This window comes from Homo sapiens, chromosome 14 (genome assembly GCF_000001405.40).
Source record: "Homo sapiens chromosome 14, GRCh38.p14 Primary Assembly".
NCBI lineage: Eukaryota > Metazoa > Chordata > Mammalia > Primates > Hominidae > Homo > Homo sapiens.
In genome coordinates, this window is record NC_000014.9 from 73,072,705 (window position 1) to 73,099,578 (window position 26,874).

Below are 26,874 nucleotides of genomic sequence, written 5' to 3' on the forward strand. Positions count from 1 at the left end.
TTCAGGAGACTGAGGTGGGAGGATGGCCTGAGCCCAGGAGTTCAAGTCCAAAGAGTGAGACCTCATCTTTGAAAAAACAAAAATCTTTGCTTATAAGAAATTTTTCTTTTGACTTAAGAACATTGCAGTTGGCTGACTTATGATGGGTTGTTAATTCATAGCATGTATGTTACGGGGGTTGTATAAACAGCACATTTGTCTTTATTTTGTTTGTGTGTGCGTGTGTGTGTATGTGTGTTTTGGGCGAGGCCTCACTTTGTTGCCCAGACTGGAGTACAGTGGCACGATCATGGCTCACTGCAGCCTTGACCTCCTGGACTCCCATCTCAGCCCTCCTGAGGAGCTGGGACCACAGGCTTTTGCCACCATGTTCAGTTAATTAAAATTTTTTTAAAAAACATTTTATAAAGATGGGGGTCTCACCATCTTGTCCAGGCTGGTCTTGAACTTCTGGGGTCAAGGTATACTCCTGCCTCAGCCTTCCAAAGTTCTGGGATTACAGATGTGAGCCCCTGCACCTGACCTTGTCTTTATTTTGGATTCAACTACTCATTGTAAAATTTTTAATTTACTGCCACAGGCTCAGCTTTGGGAACCTTCTACCCTTGGGTCTGAAAAGCCCCAAGATAAATATGGGAATTTCTGTGGAATATTATTTAACACTTCAAGAATTTGGGGAAAATCATAATTTAAAAAAATCAGGCCGGGCACAGTGGCTCACGCCTGTAACCTCAGAACTTTGGGAGGCCAAGGTGAGTGGATCACCTGAGTTCAGGAGTTAGAGACCAGTCTGGCCAACGTGGCAAAATGCCATCTCTGCTAAAAATACAAAAAATTAGCTGGGCGTGGTGGCTCAGGCGTGAATCCCAGCTACTCAGGAGGCTGAGGCAGGAGAATCGCTTGAAACTGGGAAGCAGAGGTTGCAGTGAGCTGAGATCATGCCACTGCACTCCAGCCTGGGCAACAAGAATGCAACTTTGTCTCAAAAAGAAAAAAAAATCAGAACAACTGTTTATGCATGTATATTATGGAATAGAATGCAGTACTTTAATAAGCTATTTTAGACATTATGCTTGTAGTGGAGCTGCTTTACGCTGTGCTTCTAGATAATCATGGATGTATATTTGTTATCATCTGCTGCCAGAAGAGTAATGTAAAAGTTTACACTACTGCTTTATTATCCCATGTAACAATTACTGATTTTAAGTAGTAACTTAGTTGTTTTATAATGGACCATAAATAGACTAAATTCTACTGGAAGGCTCTAGCTGGCCCTTTGGACAAAGTTTTTTCTTAAAATGAATTTTGCTGAAAGGAAATTCTATTGAGAAAATTGAGAAAATGTTGCAGAAAACTGAATAAAGTTAGTTATCAGCCATCAAACAGATTAATAGTTATAGAAGGAAAGTGTTTTGAACAACTTTCATTTGGGCTTCAGTTTTCTCTTTGGTCCGTATATCCTGATTTTCTTCATATATTTATAGGCTCATAATGCAGTTCTGGGTTTTAATTTTTAATTTATTAATTTTTTTGAGACAGGATCTCTCTTTGTCTCCCAGGCTGGGGGTACAGTGGCATAACCATAACTTAATGTGGCCTCTATCTCCTGGACTCAACTGATCCTCCTGCCTCAGCCTACTGAGTAGCTGAGACTATAGATGTGTGCCACCATGACTGACTCAGATCCGTTTTTCGATGGGCCTTACCATAACCATGATGCAAAGCCCGAGTGTTCTAGAAGTTATAGGCTGGGCATGGTGGCTCATACCTGTAATCCCATCACTTTGGGAGGCTGAGGGCAGGAGGATTTCTTGAACCCAGGAGTTCAAGATCAGCCTGGACAACATAGGGAAGAAAGACCCTGTCTTGTGGGGAGGTGGGGGGTGGCAGTAAGCTTAATTGCTTGTTTAGAATCAGAAAAGATGGTTATGGAGAATCTGTGCTTTAATTTCCTTACCAGTAGATTGGGTTTATAGAAAAGATTTTAAATTTCTTTGATTTTTTTTTTTGTTTGTTTTGCTTTTTTTGAGAGAGTCTCACTCTGTCGCTGGAGTGCAGTGGTGCCATTACAGCTCACTGCAGTCTCTGCCTCCTGGGTTCAAGTGATTCTCCTGATTCAGTCTCCCTAATAACTGGGATTATGAGTGTGTGCCACCATGCTCGGCTAATTTTTGTATTTTCTGTAGAGATGGGGTTTTGCCGTGTTGGCTCAAGCGATGTGCCTGTCTTGGCCTCCCAAAGTGTTTGGATTATGGGTGTGAGCTACCGTGTCCCCTCACTCCCTGCCTTTTTTTTTTTTTTTAAATAAAGAAATGGAGTTTTGCTATGTTTCCTAGGCTAGAGTACAGTGGTTATACACAGGCACAATGCTAGCACACCGCAGCCTTGAACTCCTGGGCTCAGGGATCCTTGTGCCTCAGCTTCCAGAATAGCTGTAACTACAAGCATGATTTTATTTATTTATTTATTTTTTTGGTACAGAGTCTTGCACCTGTCCCCCAGGCTGGAGTGCAATGGTGTGATCTCGGCTCACTGCAACCTCTGCCTCCCGGGTTCAAGCAATTCTGCCTCAGCCTCCCGAGTAGCTGGGATTACAGGCACGCACCACTACGCCTGGCTAATTTTTGTATTTTTAGTAGAAACAGGGCTTCTCCATGTTGGTCAGGTTAGTCTCAAACTCCTGACCTCAGGTGATTTACCCATCTTTGCCTCCCAAAGTGCTGGCATTACAGGCGTGAGCCACTGCGCCCGGCCCATGATTTTTATTTTCTGCGAAAGAGCCAGGAATAACAAGATTCTTCTTAGATTTACACATAAATTTCTCATCTCATGCTTAAAATAACTGTCAAAAGATTTGTTTTTACTTTATTTGACAAAATTTTATATGTTTATCATGCACAACGTTTTGAAATAACATATGTTGTGGAATGACTAAATTGAGCTAATTAACACTTGGTGTATTACTTTACATACTTATTTTTTGTTGTTGTGAGAACACCCTAGATTTTAAGTGGAGATTTTCTCTTAGTTATTTTCAAGAATATAGTACACTTACTAACTGTATCACCATGTTGCACGACGTGTTTTACCTTTTTTTTGGTCTTTTTTTTTTTTCCTTTTTGTGGAGAACGGGGTCTCACTATTTTGCCCAGGCAGATCTCGATCTCCTGGGCTCAATCTGTCCTCCTGCCTGTGCCTCCCTAAGAGCTGGAATTACAGGCGTGAGCCACCGTGCCCAGCTGTTTTTACTTTTAAAGGATTCTTTAATAGCATTGTTCACCTATAAGTCAGTCTGTATTTGTGAAAGGCATTGGTTTTGAGGATCACCGAACCACATGAACCCGAATGGATAACTATCCAGGATTTTATGCTCTTTAAGTCAAAAGCATATTGAGGTGGCCATTTTGTTTTCAGGATAGTCTTTTTTGTAAGTTTATATGGACCAACCTGATACCACATTCCTTTTGAAAATAAGATAGTATTTATCAGTATTTCACTTTCATTTGTCTTATATTTCCACTTATGTTAATTATGAGTAAGGATACTTAATTGTGTGGCATGTTGTTGATAGAGAATGCAGTCATGTAAAATCAGTGTGGTTTTTCTTTTCTTAGGGACCCCAATGATTCCTGTACCAATGAGCATTATGGCTCCTGCTCCAACTGTAAGTATAACTTAAAGGAGGAATCATGAGTTATGGTAGTGCTAGTGCTTTTAAGCTGAACAGCATGATAAACTTAGATAAATTATGAGTATTTAAAAGAATAACAAGGACAGAATGACAGCACCCCTGTAGAGCATATCATTTATTTGAATAAGTATCATTTTCACTTAGGTGTGCATATATGCAGTTGCCCTTGCAATGTGCTCCCTAAGTAGATAATTCTATGATTTTCCTGTTACTATCTAGACTCTTCATATACTTGTTATTACAAATTTAGGACTTTGGCTCTTCATTGCCTTCTCATCTTGGTCCTGGGAGATGGGAGAAGGATGTGACATGTCTGATCTCTTAAAAGAACATAGGAATCCTTGTAAAAATTAAAATTTTGAAATGAAATTTGTGTGGACTACCTTTTACATGTTTCCTCCTACCTTCCTAAGGTATATGGCCTAAGGCATAAATTTTAAATGTTCAAGACATAGGCCAGGATCACCTGAGGCCAGGAGTTCAAGACTAGCCTGGCCAACATGGTGAAACCCTGTGTCTACTAAAAATACAAAAAATTATCTAGGCTTGGTGGTGCGCGCCTGTAATCTCAGCTACTCGGGAGGCCGAGGCAGGAGAGTCCCTTGAACCCAGGAGGCGGAGGTTGCAGTGAGCCGAGATTATGCCACTGCACTCCAGCCTGGGCGACAGAGCGAAATTCCGTTTCAGAAAATAAAAGTAAAAATTATGTCTTAAACATAACAAAGTTTTCTTGGTTATTTTTGTTTCTTTTTTAAGAAGAAAGGTAATCTAGTAGTAGAAGTTTACTTGTCACAAATAAGTTTGCATTAATGAAATGTGCTATGCACTTTAGGAGCTTTAGAAGTATACAAGCATGCAGAGCTTAAATAATGTGCTATATATATTTATTTAATCCTGATGTTTTTAGCCTAATGTTAATTGTGGTAGGAAATTTAATTGCTGGATCAATTTTTATTTTGTTTCTTCACCTTAGGTCTTAGTACCCACTGTGTCTATGGTTGGAAAGCATTTGGGCGCAAGAAAGGATCATCCAGGCTTAAAGGCTAAAGAAAATGATGAAAATTGTGGTCCTACTACCACTGTTTTTGTTGGCAACATTTCCGAGAAAGCTTCAGACATGCTTATAAGACAACTCTTAGCTGTAAGTTAAACTGTTTATTTTTCATTAAAAATTTTTTTATCATTCTACATTTCAAACTTAAGCAGAAAGAAGACTTTCAGTGATTGCTTTTTATTTTAAAAAATTTCAGTCCTGCAGCAAAGGTGAAAAAGTACAGTGAACACGTTTGTATTCTTTTCCTAGATTCACCAATGAACATGTTTAGATATTTTATGTACACATGTGTACCACACACACTTTTTTCTTGGATAATTTGAAAGTAAATTGTGGCATAACATTTCACCTGTGAATCCTTCATTTATCTCCTAAGAGCAAGGACATTCTGCGACATAATCACAATGCCACTATCACACATGAAATTTGGCCGGGTGCAGTGGCTTTTGCCTGTGGTTGTCATCCTAGTCCTTTGCAAGGCTGAGGCAGGAGGATCTCTTAAGCTAGGAGTTCGAGACCAGCCTGGGCAACATATCGAGACACATCTTTACAAAAAATTAAAAAATAATAGGGCCAGATGCAGTGGCTCATGCCTGTAATCCCAGCACTTCAGGAGGCCGAGGTGGGCAGATCATTTGTGGTCAGGAGTTCGAGACCAGCCTGACCAACATGGTGAGACCCTGTCTCTACAAAAAATACAAAAATTAGCCAGGCGTGGTGGCGTGTGCCTGTAATCTCAGCTACTCGGGTGGCTGAAGCAGGAGAATCCCTTGAACCCGTGAGATGGAGGCTGCAGTGAGCTGAGGTCGCGCTACTGCACTCCACCCTGGGCGACAGAGCGAGACTCCATCTCAAAAAAATAATGACAGGGATTAAAAAATAAAAATAAAAAAAAAGCCAGGTGTGGTGATGCACGCCTGTAGTCCTAGCTGTTCAGAATCCGAGGTGGGAGAATTGCTTGAGTCTAGGAGTTGAAGGCTGCAGTGAGCTATGATCTTGTAATTGCACTCCAGCCCGAGCAAGAGAGTCTCTAAAACAAAAAAATATATAAAATTGATATAATATTGTTAACTAATGCACATGTAGTTCATATTTAATTTTCCCAGTAATGGCCATAATATTAATAGTTGTTTTATTTTTCATCCATGATCCAATGAAAGATTTTTATTTACTTTTGAGACAGATTTGCTCTGTCACACAGGCTGAATGAAGTGGTGACATCTTGGCTCACTGCAAACTCTGCCTCCTGTATTTAAGTGATTCTCATGCCTCAGCCTCCCTAGTAGCTGGGATTACAGGCGCGTGCCATGACACCTGGCTCATTTTTGTGTTTTTTTAGAGACAAGGTTTCATCATGTTATCCAGACTTGTCTTGAACTCCTGGCCTCAAGCAAACCGCCTGCGTTGGCTTTCCAAAGTGTTGAGATTACACGCGTGGGCCACCACACCTGGCTAGGGTTAATATTTTGAGACTGTGAGTCCTTTTCCCCAATGATGTTAAACAATGATTTTAGCATCCAATGATGATTGACTGATTCCTTTTAAAGTTTTATTCTGAGCTTGAATAGTAATAAGTTGTTTAAATTTGGTAAGCTTGTTGATTCACTTTTTTTACCTTTTTAAGATTTTATCTTGATGATACATGTACATTGTTAAGTGAAATAATGCTGAATGATTGTATAATAAAATAAGGCCAGGTGCGGTGTCTCACACCTGTAATCCCGGCACTTTGCGGGGCCAAGGTGAGTGGATCACTTGAGGTCAGGAGTTTGAGACCAGCCTGATCAACATGGTGAAACCCCATCTCTACTAAAAATACAAAAATTAACCAGGCGTGGTTGTCGGTGCCTGCAATCCCAACTACGCGGGAGGCTGAGGCAGGAGAATCATTTGAACCTGGGAGGCGGAGGTTGCAGTGAGTTGAGATGGCGCCACTGCACTCCAGCCTGGGTGACAATGTTAGACTTTGTCTCACACACAAAAAAAGGAGTTTGGAAGAATGACTATATTCTGCACTGAGAGGATCTGCAAAGATGTCATTCTTCGTCTGTATCCCAGAATCTTGTGTAGGTTCTCTGTAAGGACAGGGCCAGGGTTATCTCAACCTGTGGTTCACCTCATGAGTAGTTCAGTATGAGTCCTGCAATCTTGCCATCCTCTGGAAATATTGTTGCCTGCTCTCCTTATGCCCCTCTGAGATGCTGGGCAATTACTTTACATCATTCATGATTCTTGTTCCTCAACTATTCATATTTAAGAAATTCCTGTTCTTTTAGAAGACTGGATCTCCTGGGCACTCTGTAAGTTTTAATTAACTGGTTTGAGGATGTTTTGGGTTTCTCAGTTTTGTTTTCTTCTATTACTTCCATGGGATTTTTGGTAATTTCAGTCTGAAGCCTGACTCCATTTTTATTCTTGAGTTTTCTCCTGGGCTTCTTTTCACTGTAGCCACAAGGCCTAATCTGAGGTCTGCAGAGAACTAGCACTTACTCTGCTCTAATGGAATTCAGGAAAGTCAGAAGGTACTGGAGTATAGAAATGTGTTTGCTCCTGTCTGCTTCTGGAAGTCTCTGTTTTGCTATGTTATTACTGCTAATGTTTTCTCCCTAGGTGTATGTGAAAAGATTCTCATCACAAATTCTCATAGAAGTGCCGTTTCTGAGTCTTAGGGCATGCTTATCTGCAGCTTTACAAGATAATTCCACACCAATTTATTTATATTTACTGCAGCAGTGTCATGTCCGAGTTTCTATTCTTACACATCTTTTTTTTTTTTTTTTTTTTTTTTTTTTGAGATGGAGTCTTGCTCTGTCGCCCAGGCTGTAGTGCAGTGGCACCATCTTGGCTCACTGCAAGCTCCGCCTCCTGGGTTCATGACATTCTCCTGCCTCAGCTTCCCAAGTAGCTGGGACTACAGGCGCCCGCCACCATGCCCGGCTAATTTTTTGTATTTTTAGTAGAGACAAGGTTTCACCATGTTAGCCAGGATGGTCTCGATCTCCTGACCTCGTGATCTGCCCGCTTTGGCCTCCCAAAGTGCTGGGATTACAGGCGTGAGCCACCGCGCCCGGCCCTCTTACACATCTTTTTTAACAATTGGTGTTTATTTAGAATTTTACATTGTGTTGTGAAATACCTTATTCCTATTTCAATATGCCTTTTTACTGTTCTTCATAATTTTGATATTATCTGTTGACATGTTATGGTAGCTTGAGGCCTAAACTGTTAAAGGCCTCAGTCTCCCTTCCCTACTTCCTTACAGGTGTTACAAGATGGCGAACTTGATAATAAGTATTATTATGTAAATAGTTTTAGCAGAACTAGGTTATGTGCTATGATTGTATTTTCTTTCTTTGGTTTGTTTTCTTTCTTTCTTTTTTTTTTTTTTTATTTGAGATGGAGTCTCACTCTGTTATCCAGGCTGGAGTGCAGTGGCGTGATCTCAGCTCACTGCAACCTCGCCATCCGGGGTTCAAGCAATTCTCCTGCCTTAGCCTCCCGAGTAGCTGGGATTATGGATGCCTGCTACCACACCTGGCTAATTTTTGTATTTTCAGTAGAGACGGGGTTTCACCAGGTTTGCCAGGCTGGTCTGGTACTCCTGACCTCCAGTGATCTCCCTGCCTCAGCCTCCCAAAGTGCTGGGATTACATGCGTGAGCCACTGCCTAGTCCATTTTCTTATTTTAATTTTTTATTTTTTATCTTTGAGACAGAGTCTCGCTCTGTTGCCCAGGCTGGAGTGCAGTGGCACGATCTCAGCTCACTGCAACCTCCGCCTCCCGGGTCAGTGATTCTTCTGCCTCAGCCTCCCAAGTAGCTGGGATTTCAGGCACCCGCCACCACGTCCGGCTAATTTTTGTATTTTTAGTAGAGATGGGGTTTTACCATGTTGGCCAGACTGGTCTCGAACTTTTGACCTCAAGTGATCCACCCACCTTGGCTTCCCAAAGTGTGGGGATTCTTTTCCCTTCTTTTCTAGAGCTCCTCCTGTCAGGTCCCTTTGTTCGTCTCATGTGTTCTGGTTCCTCTAAGTCTACTTTTATCCTTGGATTTTTTTCTGTCTTTTCTAGTATTCCCCTTATTGCTGTTCTGTGTTGGGTGGTTTGGATCCTATATCTTGCTTGTGCCGACACATAGTAGTTCCTGTTATATTGGGATGATACATCCTCTGTATATGATGTACATGGTATATATGGGTATGTGGTTGGTAACTTTTCTGAATCTAAATCTGAAGTGCTTTTTATTTCATGTGGTCAGTAGTTTACCGGGATATAGAATTCGGTGATGAAGCTTATCTTCCTCACATTGAAGGTGCTGCCTTATCGTGTTATAGCATCTAATGATGGTTTTCAGAAGTCCCGCATCATTCTGAATGCTCTTTGTGTGTGAACTGTTTTTCCCTGGAATGCCTCTCCTAGTGAGGATTTGACTGATTGGAGGTTTTAGTTCCTAATTATGTGAAATTCTTCGAATGTTTATTTGATTTTCTTATTTTTCTTATATCATTGTGTTGGTCACTTACTTGGTGGGCCATTTCGTTCTGGAGCCTTTTTTCAGGAGAAAATTTTGAGCTATTTGAGAATTCTTTTTACTTTCTTCAGGAACTCTGTTTGGATGTTGAGCTTCCAGGTTTGACCTATGTGTTTTTGATTTCCTATTTTCCATCTCTTACTATTTTGCACGGGTTCTTGGGATTTGTCCTTAACTTTACCTTCCAGACTTACATTGAAATATTTATTTTTAATGCCATGTTTCAAGTTTCCATTAGTTTTCTCTTGTTCTCTGAAGATTTCTCACCTACACCCTCCTCCTTCTGTCTTTTTTTTAACTGGATGGAACTTTATTTTATTTTTCTTTTTTGAGACAGTCTCATTCTGTTGCTCAGACTGGAGCATAGTGGCATGATTACAGCTCACTGCAGCCTCGATTTCCTGGGCTCTAGCCATCCATCCGTCTCATCCTCCTGAGTAGCTGGGACCACTGGTGTGTGCCACCACGCCCGCCTAATTTTTTTGTTTTTGTAGAGACAGTGTCTCCCTATGTTGCCCAGGCTGGTCTTGAACTCCTGGGCTCAAGCAATCCTTCCACATCAGCCTCCCAAAGTGTTGGGATTATAGACGTGAGCTACACCTCGCTGCTTTTATTTTTAAAGTATAATAGTGTCCTACCGTTCAGATAACCTGCCCTCCTTCACATTTTGGAATATTTCTCTTTATTTTTACAGAAAGCTGTTTTTGTTTATAGTTAGAGTCTTGCTGTGTATCTGCATTTTCTTTTCCCAAGTTATTTTTGCATACCGTATCAAGCGTTTTCCCATGTTAATGGGATGGCTGGGCGCAGTGGCTCGTGCCTGTAATCCCAGCACTTTGGGAGGCTGAGGCGGGCAGATCACGAGGTCAGGAGTTCAAGACCAGCCTGGCTAATATGGTGAAACCCCGTCTCTACTAAAAATAAATAAAAAAAAAAAAACAAAAAACAATTATCCAGGCGTGGTGGTGCCTGCATGTAGTCCCAGCTACTTAGGAGGCTGAGGCAGAAGAATCGCTTGAATCTGGGAGGCAGAGGTTGCAGTGACCCAAGATCACGCCACTGCACTCCAGCCTGGGTGACAGAGCGAGACTCCGTCTCAAAAGAAAAAAAAATCCTTTATAAATACATACATATTGTTTCAAAACATTTCTTTATAGATTCATAATATTTACTTAAATTTATTATAGTTTGTTTTAACCATTCTAATTTTAGGCATTTAGGTTTACGTGTTTATTTTGTTAGGATAAGTAGTGATGCGAAACTTTTAATAAAAGGTAAACAATGTTCTGCAAATGAAGAATCAGTAAGAATTTATATTTTTCTTTAAATGATTTGTTGTTCATTTCTTTCATGTGATAAGTTTGTGGGAATTGCAAAAATTTTCGCAAATGTAGTTGCTGGTTTTTTATTTTATGTTTTTTATCCCTAGTAGAAATATAATTTTGCTTTTAGTTACATTAAAAATTATTTTGTTAAATGGTAGCAATCTGTTTGTTTTGTTTTCTTTTTAAGAAATGTGGTTTGGTTTTGAGCTGGAAGAGAGTACAAGGTGCTTCCGGAAAGCTTCAAGGTATGTCATTTTTTTCCTTATTTGCTGAAATCACTTTAACTAACCTGTGTGCTTAAATCACTTTGCATGACTTAACTCTCATTGTCTTTATCAGTAAGACTTATTTTATTAGCACTCTTTGTCCTCTTTTTTATTGAAATAGGGTTAAAAGGCAGTTTGGGAAAATATTGGCTGAGAATTGAGATCAGAAGGAGGAAAAAGGTGTAAGAGGAAAGGAAAAAATTAAAATTGCTCAATTTAACTGGTTTCTTGTTCTTTCAAAAGTCTCTTTTGTCTCAAGAAATGACTGCATGATCAAAATGGAACAATTAGTAAGGGAGAAGAAGAGACAATCATGGCCTGTTAACTTTTTTTTTTTTTTTTTGAGACCTAGTCTCACTCTGTCACCCAGGCTGGAGTGCAGTGGCGTGATCTTGGCTCACTGCAACCTCTGCCTCCTGGGTTGGAGCAGTTCTCCTGCTTCAGCCTCCTGAGTAGCTGGGATTACAGGTGTGCGCCACCATGCCCGGCTAATTTTTGTATTTTTAGTAGAGACGGGGTTTCACCATGTTGGCCAGGCTGGTCTCAAACTCCTGACCTCAGATGATCCACCCGCCTTGACCTCCTAAAATGCTGGCATTACAGGCAGGAGCCACCACACCTGACCTCAAATGTTAATTTTTTAAATAGTTGATTTGATTCAGGATCTATATGAAGTCCACACATTGCAACTAGTTGGCAATTTGTTTTAAGTCTCCTAATTTTTTTTATTAGCACCATCCTCTAACCAACTGAGCTAACTGGCCAGACTCTTAATATTTTAAGTTATTCTATTTCTAATTTTCCTTGCAGTTTATTTGTTGAAGAAACTGGGTCATTTGTGCAATAGTATTTTTTAAGTTGAGTTTTGCTGAATGCAGCTCCAGTACTATAATTTGCCATTAATCTATCCTCTGTGTTTTCTGTAAAGTGGTCAGTAGTTGTACTTGATGTGTGCTGTGTGGTGGTTTGTTTTGTTTTGTTTGTGTTTTTTATTTTTTTGGAGGAGTTTCGCTCTTCTTGCCCAGGCTGGAGTGCAGTGGTGCGATCTTGGCTCACTGCAACTTCCACCTCCCAGGTTCAAGCAATTCTCCTGCCCCAGCCTCCCGAGAAGCTGGGATTACAGGCACGTGCCACCATGCCCGGCTAATTTTTTATTTTTAGTAGAGACGGGGTTTCTCCATGTTGGTCAGGCTGCTCCTGAGCTGCTAACCTTATGATCCGCCCACCTCAGCCTCCCAAAGTACTGAGATTATAGGCACGAGCCACTGCTCCTGGCCGCTATTTTTTTTTTTAATGTTTTTATTCTAGCACCTTATAGCAAGAATACTATAAAGGTAGTATTCTTCCATCAGGGAACACATGTGAGATTGTCTTTTTTGTATGTGTAATAGCATCAGTGTTGCCAGTGCCTAGATTGATTAATTCATTAGGAAGTAATTCATCAGTAGTCTTTTTTCTTTTTTTTGAGACAGAGTCTTGTTATGTTGCCAGGCTGGAGTGCAGTGGCATAATCTTGGCTCACTGCAATCTCCAACTCCCTGATTCAAACGATTCTCCAGCCTCAGCCTCCCGAGTAGCTAGGATTACAAGCATGTACCACCCCACCCAGCTAATTTTTGTACTTTTAGTAGAGACAGGGTTTCACCGTGTTGGCCAGGAGGGTCTCGATCTCCTGATCTCGTGATCTGCCCGCCTTGGCCTCCCAAAGTGCTGGGATTACAGACGTGAGCCACCGCGCCCGGCCTCATCAGTAGTCTGTTTTGAAGAATTCTGTCATTCTTTTATTGAGGAACAAATCTTTTTCATATATTAGTAGAATGCTTCTCTATGGAGAAAGTTGCCCCTGCATCTACTGTTTGGTAACTTAGAGGCATTTTTGTTGTTCTTGAGATGGAGTTTTTCGCTCTTGTTGCCCAGACTGGAGTGCGATGGCACCATCTCAGCTCGCTGCAACCTCCGCCTCCTGGGTTCAAGTGGTTCTCTTGCCTCAGCCTCCTGAGTAGCCAGGATTACAGGCGCCCACCACCATGCCTGGCTAATTTTTTGGTTTTTTTAATAGAGGCGGGATTTTGCCCTGGTTGCCAGGCAAGTCTTGAACACGTGACTTCAGGTGATCCGCCCACCTCAGTCTCCCAAAGTGCTGGGATTACAGGCTTGAGCCACCATGCCTGGCATAGAGGCATATTTAATACAGAATAGGCAGGATAGATGCACTGGCTTGCTTTCTTAAAACAATGAGTTGCTATCCTCAGCATTCTCTAGCAGTGACTGATTTTCTTTTTTCTTTTGAATTATTGTGAACTTAGGAATTGAAGCATATTTAGTGTTATTGTATTTAATATGGATTCATTGTAGTTATTATCACCATTAAAGCTTAACTTAAATTGTCTCTGCACTTTACATCTCCAGTGGTTTTGACATGACCCTGAACACCTTTGACAGCTGCTTTGTTATCTGGTATGACAATTTGTTCTAAGGTCATCTAGTATAATAGGTTTTCGGCCCCAGACTTAGAATCAGCCATTTCTCCAGGGGAAATTGTTTTGAAGATCACGATCTGGACACTAGGTGCACTCATATTAACAGTGGTTTGGGATGGGTGTGGTGGCTCGAGCTTGTAATCCCAGCACTTTGGGAGGCTGAGGCAGGCGGGTCAAGAGATCAAGACCATCCTGGCCAACATGGTGAAACCCTGTCTCTACTAAAAATACAGAAATTAGCTGAGTGTGGTGGTGCGCTCCTTTAGTCTGAGCTACTCAGGAGGCTGAGGCAGGAGAATCGCTTCAACCCGGGAGGCAGAGTTTGCAGTGAGCCGAGATTGCACCACTACACTCCAGCCTGGTGACAGCGCGAGACTCCGTCTAAAAAAAAAAAAAAACAAAACAGTGGTTTGGTGTTTGCTTTTAGGTTTTTCCAGTGTATACTAATTCAGATTCAGGACTAAAAGGTTTTTATTTAGCCTGTTTTGTCATATATTTGTATCTCCTTTTTCCCCACACTGAGGTCCCCGAGTTTCAAGGCCATTGGGGATGATAAACTATTAATTACTGAGTTGCTTTATCTTGCATTGCACATATAACAGTTTCACACTAACAACATTGACACTATCATCAGCAATATGATCATTTAAAATTACTTTTCTTTTTTTTTGAGACAGGGTCTCTGTCTGTTGCCCAGGCTGGAGTGCAGTGGGGCAATCTCAGCTTACTGCAACTTCTGCCTCCCGGGTTCAAGCAATTCTCCTTCCTTAGCCTCCCTAGTAGCTGGGACTACAGGCATGTGCCACCACACCCAGCTAGTTTTTGTATTTTTAGTAGAGAGAGGGTTTCACCATGTTGGCCAGGCTGGTCTGGAACTCCTGATCTCAGGTGATCTGCCCGCCTCTGCCTCCCAGAGTGCTGGGATTACAGGCATGAGCCACTGCGCCCGGCCTAAAGGTACTTTTTTGAGGGGCATATCTGTTTGTCTTTATGGTATATCACACTGAAATGTCAAATTTACTATTTTAATATCAGTAGTTTTTTTCTGTTTCCTGTCATTATATACATATTTAGATTTATTTGATTTTATTTTCAATTTGTTGGTTGCTCTTCTTAGATTTAATTTTGTTTTAATATTTCTGTTAAAGTCATCTTAATAGTGAGATTGACTAGTTATAAAAGGAAATAGATGTAAGTAAAATAGACTGGTAACTAGGATACAAATTCTGTAATTTAACATCTCAGAATTGAAAAGTGCATTGTTTGTGTTCCTGCAGTCTGTTCTTTCTTGTGGCTGTTTGGAAGTCTAGATAGGGTGAATTTATGAAATAATTGACTCCTTTCTTTTTTTTTTTTTTTTTGAGACGGAGTCTCGCTCTTTCGCCCAGGCCGGACTGCAGTGGCGCTATCTCGGCTCACTGCAACCTCCGCCTCCTGGGTTCACGCCATACTCCTGCCTCAGCCTCCCAAGTAGCTGGGACTACAGGCGCCCGCCACCGCGCCCGGCTAATTTTTTGTATTTTTAGTAGAGACGGGGTTTCACTGTGTTGGCCAGAATGGTCTCGATCTCCTGACCTCGTGATCCACCCGCCTCGGCCTCCCAAAGTGCTGGGATTACAGGCATGAGCCACCGCGCCCGGCCAATTGACTCCTTTTAATCATGAATTTCATTGACTCTGCTAAATATTTTATTAGAGCTTCTAATGAGTAGCAGTTTGTCTGATTTGAATTTTTCTTCCTCTCTGTTTTTCCCTTTTTTTCCCCTTTGGTTGTTTGAGGATACTAAAAGTGAAATGGTTATCAAAGGGAATTGGTGGACAGGGGTGGAATTATGAATTGAGTGGTCTTTGTATTAAAACATTTGGACTCTAGTGATTCTACTTTTCCATAATTTTTTTTCTTTTGTAAGTGAATTGGTATTTCACTAATTGTTTTCATCCATTGCTAGCCTTCGGATTCTGTGAGTACAAGGAGCCAGAATCTACCCTCCGTGCACTCAGATTATTACATGACCTGCAAATTGGAGAGAAAAAGCTACTCGTTAAAGTTGATGCAAAGACAAAGGCACAGCTGGATGAATGGAAAGCAAAGAAGAAAGCTTCTAATGGGGTATGTTTTCTGTCGTGTTATCTTTTCTAGGCCAGACTGTGCTATTTCAGTGTAGTGCTTCTCATTATAAATGAATCTAATATGGGGCTTCAAAAGATCATCATGTATGTGCTTGTGGCTTAATGTAGGAGGGTATTTTATAGTTTGTAGTTATTTTAAGTCTTATCTGCCCATAGTGGGTGGATGACTGTTGGTTTGCTTGTTCCAGGTTGGGATGAAAGTAGTAAGGGAGGCTGGACAAGGTTAACTTGCCAGAGAAAGCACTGGTACAGACTATTCCAAACAGAGCTAATTCATTAAGGCAGCTTTGTAAGTAAGTACAAAATATATTTCAACCTACACAATTTTTATTAGTTTCCCTCTCTTTTAGAAGTACACCGACTCTAAAATGAATGAAAGTCTGATTACTTGCCTTAGGTTGGGGGCTTTATCCAAGCTCTACTAAGTGAAGCTAAAATAAAGGACATTGTTGTATATTGTATTTTAATGTATACATTATTACCTCCTCAGCAAAGTGAAACATAGCTAAAACTTGAGTATATATTTCCTTCATTTCTCTTCTTAGTTCCTTTTTGGCATCTCATGCTGAACAAATCCAAAATAGATTTATTAATGCCTTCCCCCAACACAAACAAAACCAGAAGAGTCTTTCGCTGTCGTCAAATTTTTATTATCTTTCAAAATAGAAATCGCTTTTTGCTGGGCACGGTGGCTCACGCCTGTAATCCCAGAACTTTGGGAGGCAGAGGCGGGCAGATCACCTGAGGTCAGGAGTTCGAGACCAGCCTGGCCAACGTGGCGAAACCCTGTCTCTACTAAAAATACAAAAAATTAGCCTAGCGTTGTGGTGGGTGCCTGTAATCCCAGCAACTCAGAGGCTGAGGCAGGAGAATCGCTTGAACTGCAGAGGCGGAGGTTGCAGTGAGCTGGGATCTAGCCATTGTACTCCAGCCTGGGCAACTAGAGTGAAACTCTGTCTCCCTGCTGCCAAAAAAGAAAAAAGAAATACCTTTCATGTTCCCTCCAAGTTCTTTGTTAAAAAAAAATAAAAACCAAACCCAAAAAACTCACAAAATGAAGCAAAGTATAAATAATCAATTAAATACCACCTGTAATCCCATCATCATAAGCAACACTGTAGGCGGTTTGGATGTATGTTCTTCCAGACATTTTTCTGTGTATGAATGTGGTTCATTTGTTTTTTGTTTTTTTTGAGACAGAGTCTCTCTGTCGTTCAGGCTAGAGTGCAGTGGTGCGATCTTGGCTCACTGCAACCTCTGCCTCCCGTGTTCAGGTGATTCTCCTGCCTCAGCCTCCTGAGTAGCTGGGATTACAGGCATCCACCACCACGTTCAGCAAATTTTTGTATTTTTAGTAGAGATGGGGTTTCATCATGTTGGCCAGGCTGGTCTCGAACTCCTGACTTCAGGTAATCTGTTCTCCTTGGCCTCCCAAAGTGCTGGGATTACAGGTGTGAGCCACCACACCTGGCCAAATGTAGGGTTTTGTTTGTTTGTTTGTTTGAAATGGAGTTTCCCTCTCTTGCCCAGGCTGGAGTGCAGTGGTGCGACCTTAGCTCACTGCAACCTCCACCTCCCAGGTTCAAGTGATTCTCCCTCCTCAGCCTCCCAAGTAGCTGGGATTACAGGTGTCCGCCACCAGGCTCGGCTACTTTTTGTATTTTCACTATGTAAGTGAGGCTGGTCTTGAACTCCTCACCTTAGGTGATCTGTCTGCCTCAGCCTCCCAAAGTGCTGGGATTACGTGTGAGCCACTCCACCCGGTCAGCATTGCCTGTATTTCTAAAACATAAGTATAATTTTATGAAACTCTTGCTTATATTATGTGAGACCCATCCTTAATGGTTTTGGATTTCTTACAGAAAAAAGTACCCCCCCTCTTTTTTTTTGATGCAGTCTCGCTTTGTTGCCCAGACTGGAGTGCAGTGGCGAAATCTTGGCTCACTGCAACCTCCACCTCCCAGGTTCAAGCGATTCTCCTGCTTTGGCCTACCGAGTAGCTGAGATTTTAGGCACCCGCCACCACCCCCAGCTAATTTTTATGTTTTTAGTAGAGGTGGGATTTCTCCATGTCTTCCAGGCTGGTCTTGAGCTCCTGACCTCAGGTGATCCACCCACCTCGGCCTCTCAAAGTGCTGGGATTACAGGCGTGAGCCACCGTGCCCGGCCATAAAGTCCATATTTTTAGGATGACATTCAAGGCTCACTCCAGTCCACGTTTCTAGCTTCCGTCTTCCCTCCCCTGCACATACTACTGCATGTACCTCCACAGTCTTCCCTTTTGCTTTGCTGGCATCTCATGTCTTTGTTGCCTATCCAAGCTCCCTGTTGAAATTCTATCCATACTTATAATTAACATGTCCCTTGATTCATACAGACTTTATCAGCCTGCCCTTAGTTTCTGTCAGACAGAATTAAGTCCTCTGTTCCCATATAAAGCAGATCTTTATAGCTGTTTTAGTAGATATTGTTTATATATCTCTCTCTTTCACAGCCCCTTGTAACCCATCTCATTCCCATATTCTCTTTCAACCCCCATCTCTGATTACAGATAGAAAGGGTGATAAGTTTGTGGGCTGTGTCTCTTTAATCTTGTACCTCCACAGCATCTAGGACAGTGTCTTGCCTAAAGCAAGGATGGAATTAACATTTGTTAATAGACGCTTATCTGTCAGTCTTACTATCCTCACCCTGCTTCATAAGGAAATTATATTTTATTTATATTTTATTTCAAATCAGTAATACTGCCTGTCACATCACTAAAACCTCAAAAAACAGAAATGTTTGAAATAAGAATTTTCAGGTTTGCCTTGTGATAACTGTATACTAACTAGTTGAAAGTATGGATTCAGTATCTTCAAAGTGTTCTGATTTGCTAGGACTCACTGTTTTCTTGTGTTTAATCTTCAGTTTGTGAGGTCATTTAATTTGTAGCATTTGCAAATGTTATACTGAAAAACTCTGAGAATGAAATAAGTCACTATACTACGTATTTTTATAAATAAGGAAGTGCACAATTATGTGACTTCACATTTCTTGCTTGCTTGCTTTTTTTGGGGTGGGGACAGAGTGTTGCTCTGTCACCCAGGCTCGAGTGTGGGGTGGTGTGATCTCTGCTCACTGCAACCTCCTATTCCCAGGCTCCAGTGATCCTTCTGCCTCAGCTGGGACTACAGGTATGCACCACCATACTGGCTAAGTTTTATATTTTTTGTTGAGATGAAGTTTCACTGTGTTGTCCAGGCTGGTCTTGAACTCCTGGGCTTAAGTGATCCACCTACTTCAGCCTTCCAAAGTGCTGGGATTACAGGCAGGAGCCACTGTGTCCAGCTTACATTTTTTGTATAATCAACATTAGCCAGAGTAACCACACTTTAGATCTGTTGGTCTTCAGGAAAAGCAATATGTGTCTGGATGTGGTGGCTCACACCTGTAATCCCAACACTTTGGGAGGCCGAGGTCGGAGGATCACCTGAGGTCAGGAGTTTGAAACCAGCCTGGCCAACATGGTGGAACTCCATCTCTACTAAAAAAAAAATACAAAAATTAGCCGGATGTGGTGGTGCACACCTGTAATCCCAGCTACTTGGGAGGCTGAGACAGGAAAATCACTTAAAACCCAGGAGGCGGAGGTTACAGTTAGCTGAGATTGCGCCACTGCAGTCCAGCCTGGGTGACAGAGTGAGACTCTGTCTCAAAAAAAAAGCGAAGTTACATGCAATAAAATCACACAGAAAAATTATTTTTAATAAAAAATTAAAACAATTGACAGATATCAGTTATATGATTTATTGTTCCAACTGTTATATGTGTATTTCTGAGTGCCCTTTGGCTTCTTGCCCGGTGGTACTTGAAGTCATAGGATAAACATGGCATATTTTCCTTAAGTGTCAATATTACTCAACAAATATAGGTTAAAAAAGCATTCTATCTGATGTAAAAAAAAATTTTCAAATAACTTAAGCAAATATTACTATATAGTGGAGTAGATTAGAGATTTGCCATGATTTTTTTTTTAAGGGTGGTGGGGGGTGTAGGGAGAGATGAAAGTCGGAGAGTGAGAGATTGGAGGGAGGGAGCAGGGGGAGGGGAGAAGATGGTGGGGGTGAGATGGGTGGCTACTGCCGCCATGATTTTTCAGTATAAAAATATGACATGGTGATTGTTTTTTATTCTTGGTCGTTGATTAGTTGGAGAAATTTAGAAAGCTGTTAAGTAGAGGATAGGAGAATGAGACATTGAAAACCCTTTGTGTTGCTTTATTAGGCATTTTCCTCTGAGGCAGAAGAGAAAACAATTAGTTCCTTATTTCTCATTGACTAAAAAGGAAACATGAGTTTGTCTAGGGGAGCAACATATTTTTCATGATCCAGAATTTTTTTTTAAATTTTCTTGCCTTTTTTTTTTTTTAATTAAGTTTTAGGGTACATGTTCACCACGTGCAGGTTTGTTACGTATATATACATGTGCCATGTTGGTGTGCTGCACCCATTAACTCGTCATTTAACATTAGGTATATCTCCTAATCCTATCCCTCCCACCTGCCCCCCAAAATTTTCTTTTTTTTATGAGATGGGGTCTCGCGTTGTTGCCCAGGCTGGTGTCGAACTCCTGGGCTCAAGCAGTTCTCCTGCTTCGGCCTCCCAAAGTGCTGGGTTTACAGGCATGAGCCACTGTGCCCAGCCAGATTCAGAATTTTAAGAAGAATTTTGCGCATGTGTAAGGTGTCTTGTCAAACAACTTGACTGAACATTTTAATTTAGATTTTGCAGAATTTGCAGGTGTAACTTTTTTTCTTTCCATTTCTTATTGACCTCTAGTAGTAAAGTATTCCATGTGAGGTGGCCATGCTAATTTAGTTCATGTCCTATTGCTTTCTGGCTGTCCAGCAAAAATAGTATAGGAGACAATATATCTGCTTGTATGTCACAAGTCATAGTTATTAACCATATATTCAAGAATGAACACTGACAAGTGCTGGAAAAACAGTTATTCTCTGGAAAGAACCTATTTAATAGAGGACAGCTGCTTCAGGGGAACATCTTTGGAAATTAGCCTGGCTGAGTACATTTTCTCAAAAGAAAGAACTCTGCATTTCCTTAAATTTTTTAAAAGGTTCGTACTTTGGATTCTAGACCTCAGTGCCAAAGAATGAGCCCAGCAGAGCTGTTTAACTTCACAGCTACTAGCTTTACTATTGAAATTTTAATTTCTCTGAAAAGAACCAACTAGGTGGGCCATGTAAACATTACAGATAATCTGTCAGCTTCCTATATGGCTGAATCCTTCACCTTTTGTTTCCCAGTATTACTGATTATGCTTTCTGGTTTCTCCCTCTCTGCCCACCGAAGTCTCACTCTTGTCGCCCAGGCTGGAGTGCAATGGTGTAATCTCGGCTCACTGCAACCTCCGCCTCCTGGGTTCAAGCGATTCTCCTGCCTCAACCTCTTGAGTAGCTGGGAGTACAGGCACCCGCCACCACGCCTGGCTAATTTTTTGTATTTTTAGTAAAGATGGGTTTCGCCATGTTGGCTAGGCTGGTCTCAAACTCTGGACCTCAGGTGGTCCACCCGCCTCGGCCTCCCAAAGTGTTGGGGTTATAGGTGTGAGCCACCGCACCCGGCCATCTGGTTTCTGAAGTATAAGAAAAAAACAGGAAATCAGAAAATCGTGTATAGTTGATATTCCAGAGATAGAGCTTTAGATGAAACTTGCCAGTCTGTGGAGTGGTCTTTCTAACCTGATCATCTACCATGATCAGGTTTTGTTTTTTTTTTTTTTTTTTCTTGAGACAGAGTCTCACTCTGTCGCCCAGGCTGGAGTGCAGTGGCGCGATCTCAGCTCACTGCAAGCTCCGCCTCCCGGGTTCACGCCATTCTCCTGCCTCAGCCTCCCGAGTAGCTGGGACTACAGGTGCCCGCCACCACGCCTGGCTAATTTTTTTTGTATTTTTGGTAGAGACGGGGTTTCACTGTGTTAGCCAGGATGGTCTCGATCTCCTGACCTTGTGATCTGCCTGCCTCGGCCTCCCAAAGTGCTGGGATTATAGGTGTGAGCCACTGCATCCGGCCTAGGTTTTTTGTTGTTGTTGTTATTGTTTTTTTTTTAAATATTAGCAATCAGTTAAGATTTTTGGGTTAATAAACTTTTCTTCTAAAAATGTGAATTAGTTAATTCCAAATGCTTTATCTCTAATAGTAAAATAGCCATATTGATATTTAAATTTTGGTTTACAGTGGAAACAATAATCAATTTAGGGTCTATAAGGATTTTTTTTGTCTTTTGAGACGGAGTCTTGCTCTGTCGCCCAGGCTGGAGTGCAGTGGCGTGATATTGGCTCACTGCAATCTCTGCCTCCCGGGTTCAAGCCATTCTCCTGCCTCGGCCTCCCAAGTAGCTGGGACCATGCCCGGCTAATTTTTTGTGTTTTTAGTAGAGACGGGGTTTCACCATGTTAGCCAGGATGGTCTCCATCTCCTGACTTAGTGAGCCGCTGCACGCGGCTGGGGAATTTTTGTATTTTTTTAGTAGAGACGGGGTTTCACCATGTTGGTCAGGCTGGTCTCGAACTCCTGACCTTGTGATCCGCCCGCCTCAGCCTCCCAAAATGCTGGGATTACAGGAGCGAGGTGTGTGTGTGTGTGTGTGTGTGTGTGTGTGTCTGTGTGTGTGTGTGTGTTTTTGATGGGGGTGGAGACAGAGTCTCGCTCTGTCTCCCAGGCTGGAATGGAGCAGCATGATCTCTGCTCACTGCAGTCTCCACCTCCTGGGTTCAAGCAATTCTCTTGCCTCAGCCTCCTGAATAGCTGAGATTACAGGCACATGTCACCATGCCCAGCTAATTTTTTGTATTTTTGGTAGATGGGGTTTCACCATGCTGGCCAGGCAGGTCTCGAACTCCTGACCTCGTCATCTGCCCACCTTGGCCTCCCAAAGCGCTGGGTTGCAGGCGTGAGCCACCGAGCCCTGCCAAGTGGTTAGTTTTGTAATAACATGTAATGCCTTATATTTAAGTTATCTGTGTCATAACCCATCTGTTACTCTGTAGTGATACAGCTTGAGGAGAAGAGAGCGTTTTTCAATTTGGATTTTATTCCGTCTAAGTGCAGCATCTTTCTCACAGTATGCTCTTAAGAATTTGTTGATGGGTGTGGTCGTCACGCCTGTAATCCCAGCACTTTGGGAGGCTGAGGCGGGCGGATCATGAGGTCAGGAGATCGAGACCATCCTGGCTAACACGGTGAAACCCCCATCTCTACTAAAAATACAAAAAAATTAGTCGGGTGTGGTGGCGGGAGCCTGTGGTCCCAGCTACTCAGGAGGCTAAGGCAGGAGAATGGTGTGAAACTGGGAGGCCAGAGCTTGCAGTGAGCTGAGATCACGCCACTGCATTCCAGCCTGGGCAACAGAGCAAGACTCCGCCTCAAAAAAAAAAAAAGAATTTGTTGAGCAAATTAATTTAAGAAATAAAATGTTTGTTGAATACGTATCCATTGGAGACAGCTTTCAGAATGCTTGTGGTCAACTTATAAAGTTACTGCTAAGTTACATTGTTAAGGAGGCACAAGGCATGAAACTCACCTTGAATAGAGTTGCAGGAATTATGACCAAGAGCCAGGCATGTATGCACATGAGCATGGTTCTTGTATGTATCTGAAAATGTGCACGGTATATGTTTACCAAGTAAGTCGTTAAAAACTTTGGGGCATGCACAACTATTGTAGCACAACTATTGTAGCACATTAGAAGCCAACAATTTTCCCCACATAGAGGGAATAATCTAGACTTCTTAGAAAATAATAATTATTATTATTGAGATGGAGTTTCGCTCTTTTGCCCAGGCTGGAGTGCAGTGGCGTAATCTCTGCTCACTGCAACCACTGCCTTCCGGTTTTAAGCGATTCTCCTGCCTCAGCCTCCCGAGGAGCTGGAATTATAGGCATGCACCACCGCACTCGGCTAATTTTTGTATTTTTAGTAGAGTGGGGTTTCACCATGTTGGCCAGGCTGGTCTTGAACTCCTGACCTCATGATCCGCCCCCGCCTCGGCCTCCCATAGTGCTGGGATTACAGGAGTGAGCCACTGCGCCTGGCCAGAAAATTATTGATAAAGACCTACAAATACTTACTTTGATTCCTTGTTAGGGTTGTAAGTGTATGGTTTCTATAAGTGGTATGTATTCCTGCATTATAAGCACTCGTAGAAAGCAAATAGGAAATAAGCCATCATTACAGCCCCTAAACTCCCGATTCTTGCAGTTTGGTATATTTAGCAATCTGATGTTTTTGTTTGTTTGTTTAATCTACATACAATTTTGCTTTTTCTGAGTGGTAGCTATCACAATTAACTTAAAATTGTATTTTGCCTTTACTACGTAACTGAATTTTCAACTGTTTAAAAGAGTCGTTACTATTTGTGTACCTATTGAGCAAAACAGTCTGAAAACTTGTGAATGGTTTGCAGATGTGTCGTATAGTGTGCTAGTCCTGAAATTTAGGGACCAGAATTTTTTAGCTATTAAGAAAAAGAAAATGAAAATGAAGTAGTATCTCAGGAATAGTTAAATAAAAAAATGAAGCTTTTCTGATGTTAAGAACAAAACCAATTCTGTGTTTAATAGGACTACAGAGATGTTTTTGAGAAAACATGTATGTTTATTAACTCTTGTTGTAGAGTGATTTTGATTTTCTTGCTTGATTTTTCTTTCCCCTGAATTTGCTGTTTTGTTTAAGAATGCAAGGCCAGAAACTGTCACTAATGACGATGAAGAAGCCTTGGATGAAGAAACAAAGAGGAGAGATCAGATGATTAAAGGGGCTATTGAAGTTTTAATTCGTGAATACTCCAGTGAGCTAAATGCCCCCTCACAGGAATCTGATTCTCACCCCAGGAAGAAGAAGAAGGAAAAGAAGGAGGACGTATGTGTTCTGACAACAACATATCATTTCTACCGTTTGTTTTTTATGATATCACTCTTATACTTTGATTACATGTCAGTTTTCTTTTTTCTTTTCTTTTTTTTTTTTTTTTTTTTTTGAGATGGAGGCTCACTTTGTCTCCCAGGCTGGAATGCAGTGGTGCAATCTCAGTTCACTGTAACCTCCGCCTCCGGGGTTCGAGCGATTCTACTGCCTCAGCCTCCTGAGTAGCTGGGACTACAGGCATCCGCCACCATGCCCGGCTAATTTTTTGGTTTTTAGTAGAGACGGGGTTTCACCGTGTTAGCCAGGATGGTCTCAATCTCGTGACCTCGTGGTCGACCCGCCTCGGCCTCCCACAGTGCTGGGATTACAGGCGTGAGCCACCGTGCCCGGCCACATTTTAAACTTTTTTACAGAGACAAGGTCTCACTATGTTTTCTAGGCTGGTCTCCAACTCCTGGGTTCAGGTTATCCTCCTGCCTCCGCTTCCTAAAGTGCCAGGATTACAGTCATGAGCCACTGCGCCCGGCCCCTATTTTACTTTGTTTGCCTATGGTTGTTCTGTCTCTGTTCTAAGCAAGAAACCAGATCTGATTCACTGAAGATTTCCACCCACTCTTAATTTTTAGCTGCCTTTCCTTAAGAAACTATGTCACATTCCCCTCCCTGAACAATAATGGTATTGAATAATCAAACTGGAGGATTCTGAAAGAGCAGTACAACTTGAAACATTCCTCCTCAGTGAATTGATTGCTACCTCTTTGTGGCCCTAAGCTAATTGTCCAGGTTGAAAGAAAAGGTTTAGTTTTCTCATACTTATTTCCTTTGGATAAACTTAGATAAATTATAGGAAGTGTTCTTTTAAAAATACTGGAAGAAGCCAGAAGTGGTGGCTGACACATGTAGTCCCAGCAACTTGGGAGGCTGAGGGGAGAATTACTTGAGCCCATGAACTTGAGTCTAGCCTGGGCCACAGAGCGAGACCCTTCTATAAAGTAAGAAAAAAAATCCCACAAATATTGGAAGTGTTTTATTTATGTTTTTGAGACAGTATCTTGCTCTGTCACACAGACTGGAGGATGGTGGCGCAATTACGGCTCACTGCAGCCTTGAATACCCATCCTAAAGTGATCCTCATGTGTTAGCCTCCTGAGAAGCTGAGACTATAGGCATGTGCTACCATACCCAGCTAATTTTTGTATTTTTTGTAGAGACAGGGTTTCACCATGTTGCCCAAGCTGGTGTTGAACTCCTGAGCTCAAATGATCTGCCTGCCTCAGCCTTCCAAAGTGCTGGGACTACAAGTGTGAATCACTCATAGCTGGCTCAACGTGTTTTATATGCATGCATTATGTAATAAAAAAGTACTACGTGGTATATATATTATGATTAGTTATGAATGGATGGTTACATTTTATATTATTTTAAATTTCAGTGCCTTTTTAGGCCATATTCAGTTTTCTTTGTGGCCAGATACATACATTTTTATTATTTGGTATGTGTTTCCTCGTTTGGTCATAGAACTTTTCTTTTTTGTTCCCGCCCCTACCCCCACCCAAGACGGAGTCTCACTCACTTGCCCAGGCTGGAGTGCAGCAGCTGCGATCTCAGCTCACTGCAAGCTCTGCCTCCCGGGTTCAAGCGATTCTCCTGCCTCAGCCTCCTGAGTAGCTGGGACTACACGTGCCTGCTGCCACGCCCAGCTACTTTTTTGTATTTTTAATAGAGATGGGTTTCACTGTGTTAGCCAGGATGGTCTCGATCTGCTGACCTCGTGATCCGCGTGAGCCACCGTGCCCGACCCATAACTTTTCTAAGGAGGTGTATTCTGTTAGGAATGGTAATTGGTAGGGTCAGTAAGGTACAGGGTAATTGAGGCCTGTAGAATTCATTCTTCCTCTTTCTTCATTAGTGGGAAAGGAGAAAAATAACATATTTGTTTGATGTGGATTGGGAGGAGATAATAAATTCTTCCTCTGTGGCAGGAGTTATGGGTAAATATTGTTGGTATGATTAGAAAGCCCTGCTACTATGAGAGCACCTTCTATATTTCCATTTCTTGGGGGTGTTGGAGTATCCAGAGAGGAGGGTAGTGTGTGATCAGTTATTGTAAAAAGAGTGAAATCACTTCTATTCCCAAGTAATTTGAAATCAAGAAAGCATCACAGAAGTGTACTGTATTGTTCACGTCATAAATGTATAGGGCATTGCTTTGCAGATTAGTATGAGCTCTGTTTTTCTTTTTTAAAAAAGATTCTTGGTGGATTTTTTCACAGATTTTCCGCAGATTTCCAGTGGCCCCACTGATCCCTTATCCACTCATCACTAAGGTTAGTTTAAATTGTAGGCTTTGACAATACCTGTGTTTACTGCTGATTGTTGATTTGTCATTCTTGTCTATCTGATTTTTCACTATTTAACTTTAGATTGTTAGATTTGTTATTGTGGATATTCTGTTTACTTATTTACTCTTTG

The 26,874-nt window shown here is 41.7% G+C and overlaps 1 protein-coding gene across 3 annotated transcripts in view; it reads left to right on the top strand.

Annotated features, from left to right (window-relative positions):
• The window catches only part of RBM25 (RNA binding motif protein 25), a 65,366-nt gene that overhangs the window by 14,171 nt on the left and 24,321 nt on the right, over positions 1–26,874 (top strand). For all 3 annotated transcript variants that reach the window (XM_011537044.4, NM_021239.3, XM_047431641.1), the window contains 6 exons: positions 3,615–3,664; positions 4,665–4,832; positions 10,790–10,847; positions 15,297–15,457; positions 24,211–24,396; positions 26,676–26,729. In XM_011537044.4, coding sequence (XP_011535346.1) covers positions 3,615–3,664; positions 4,665–4,832; positions 10,790–10,847; positions 15,297–15,457; positions 24,211–24,396; positions 26,676–26,729 — 677 coding nt within the window. The remainder of the gene's footprint in view (positions 1–3,614; positions 3,665–4,664; positions 4,833–10,789; positions 10,848–15,296; positions 15,458–24,210; positions 24,397–26,675; positions 26,730–26,874) is intronic.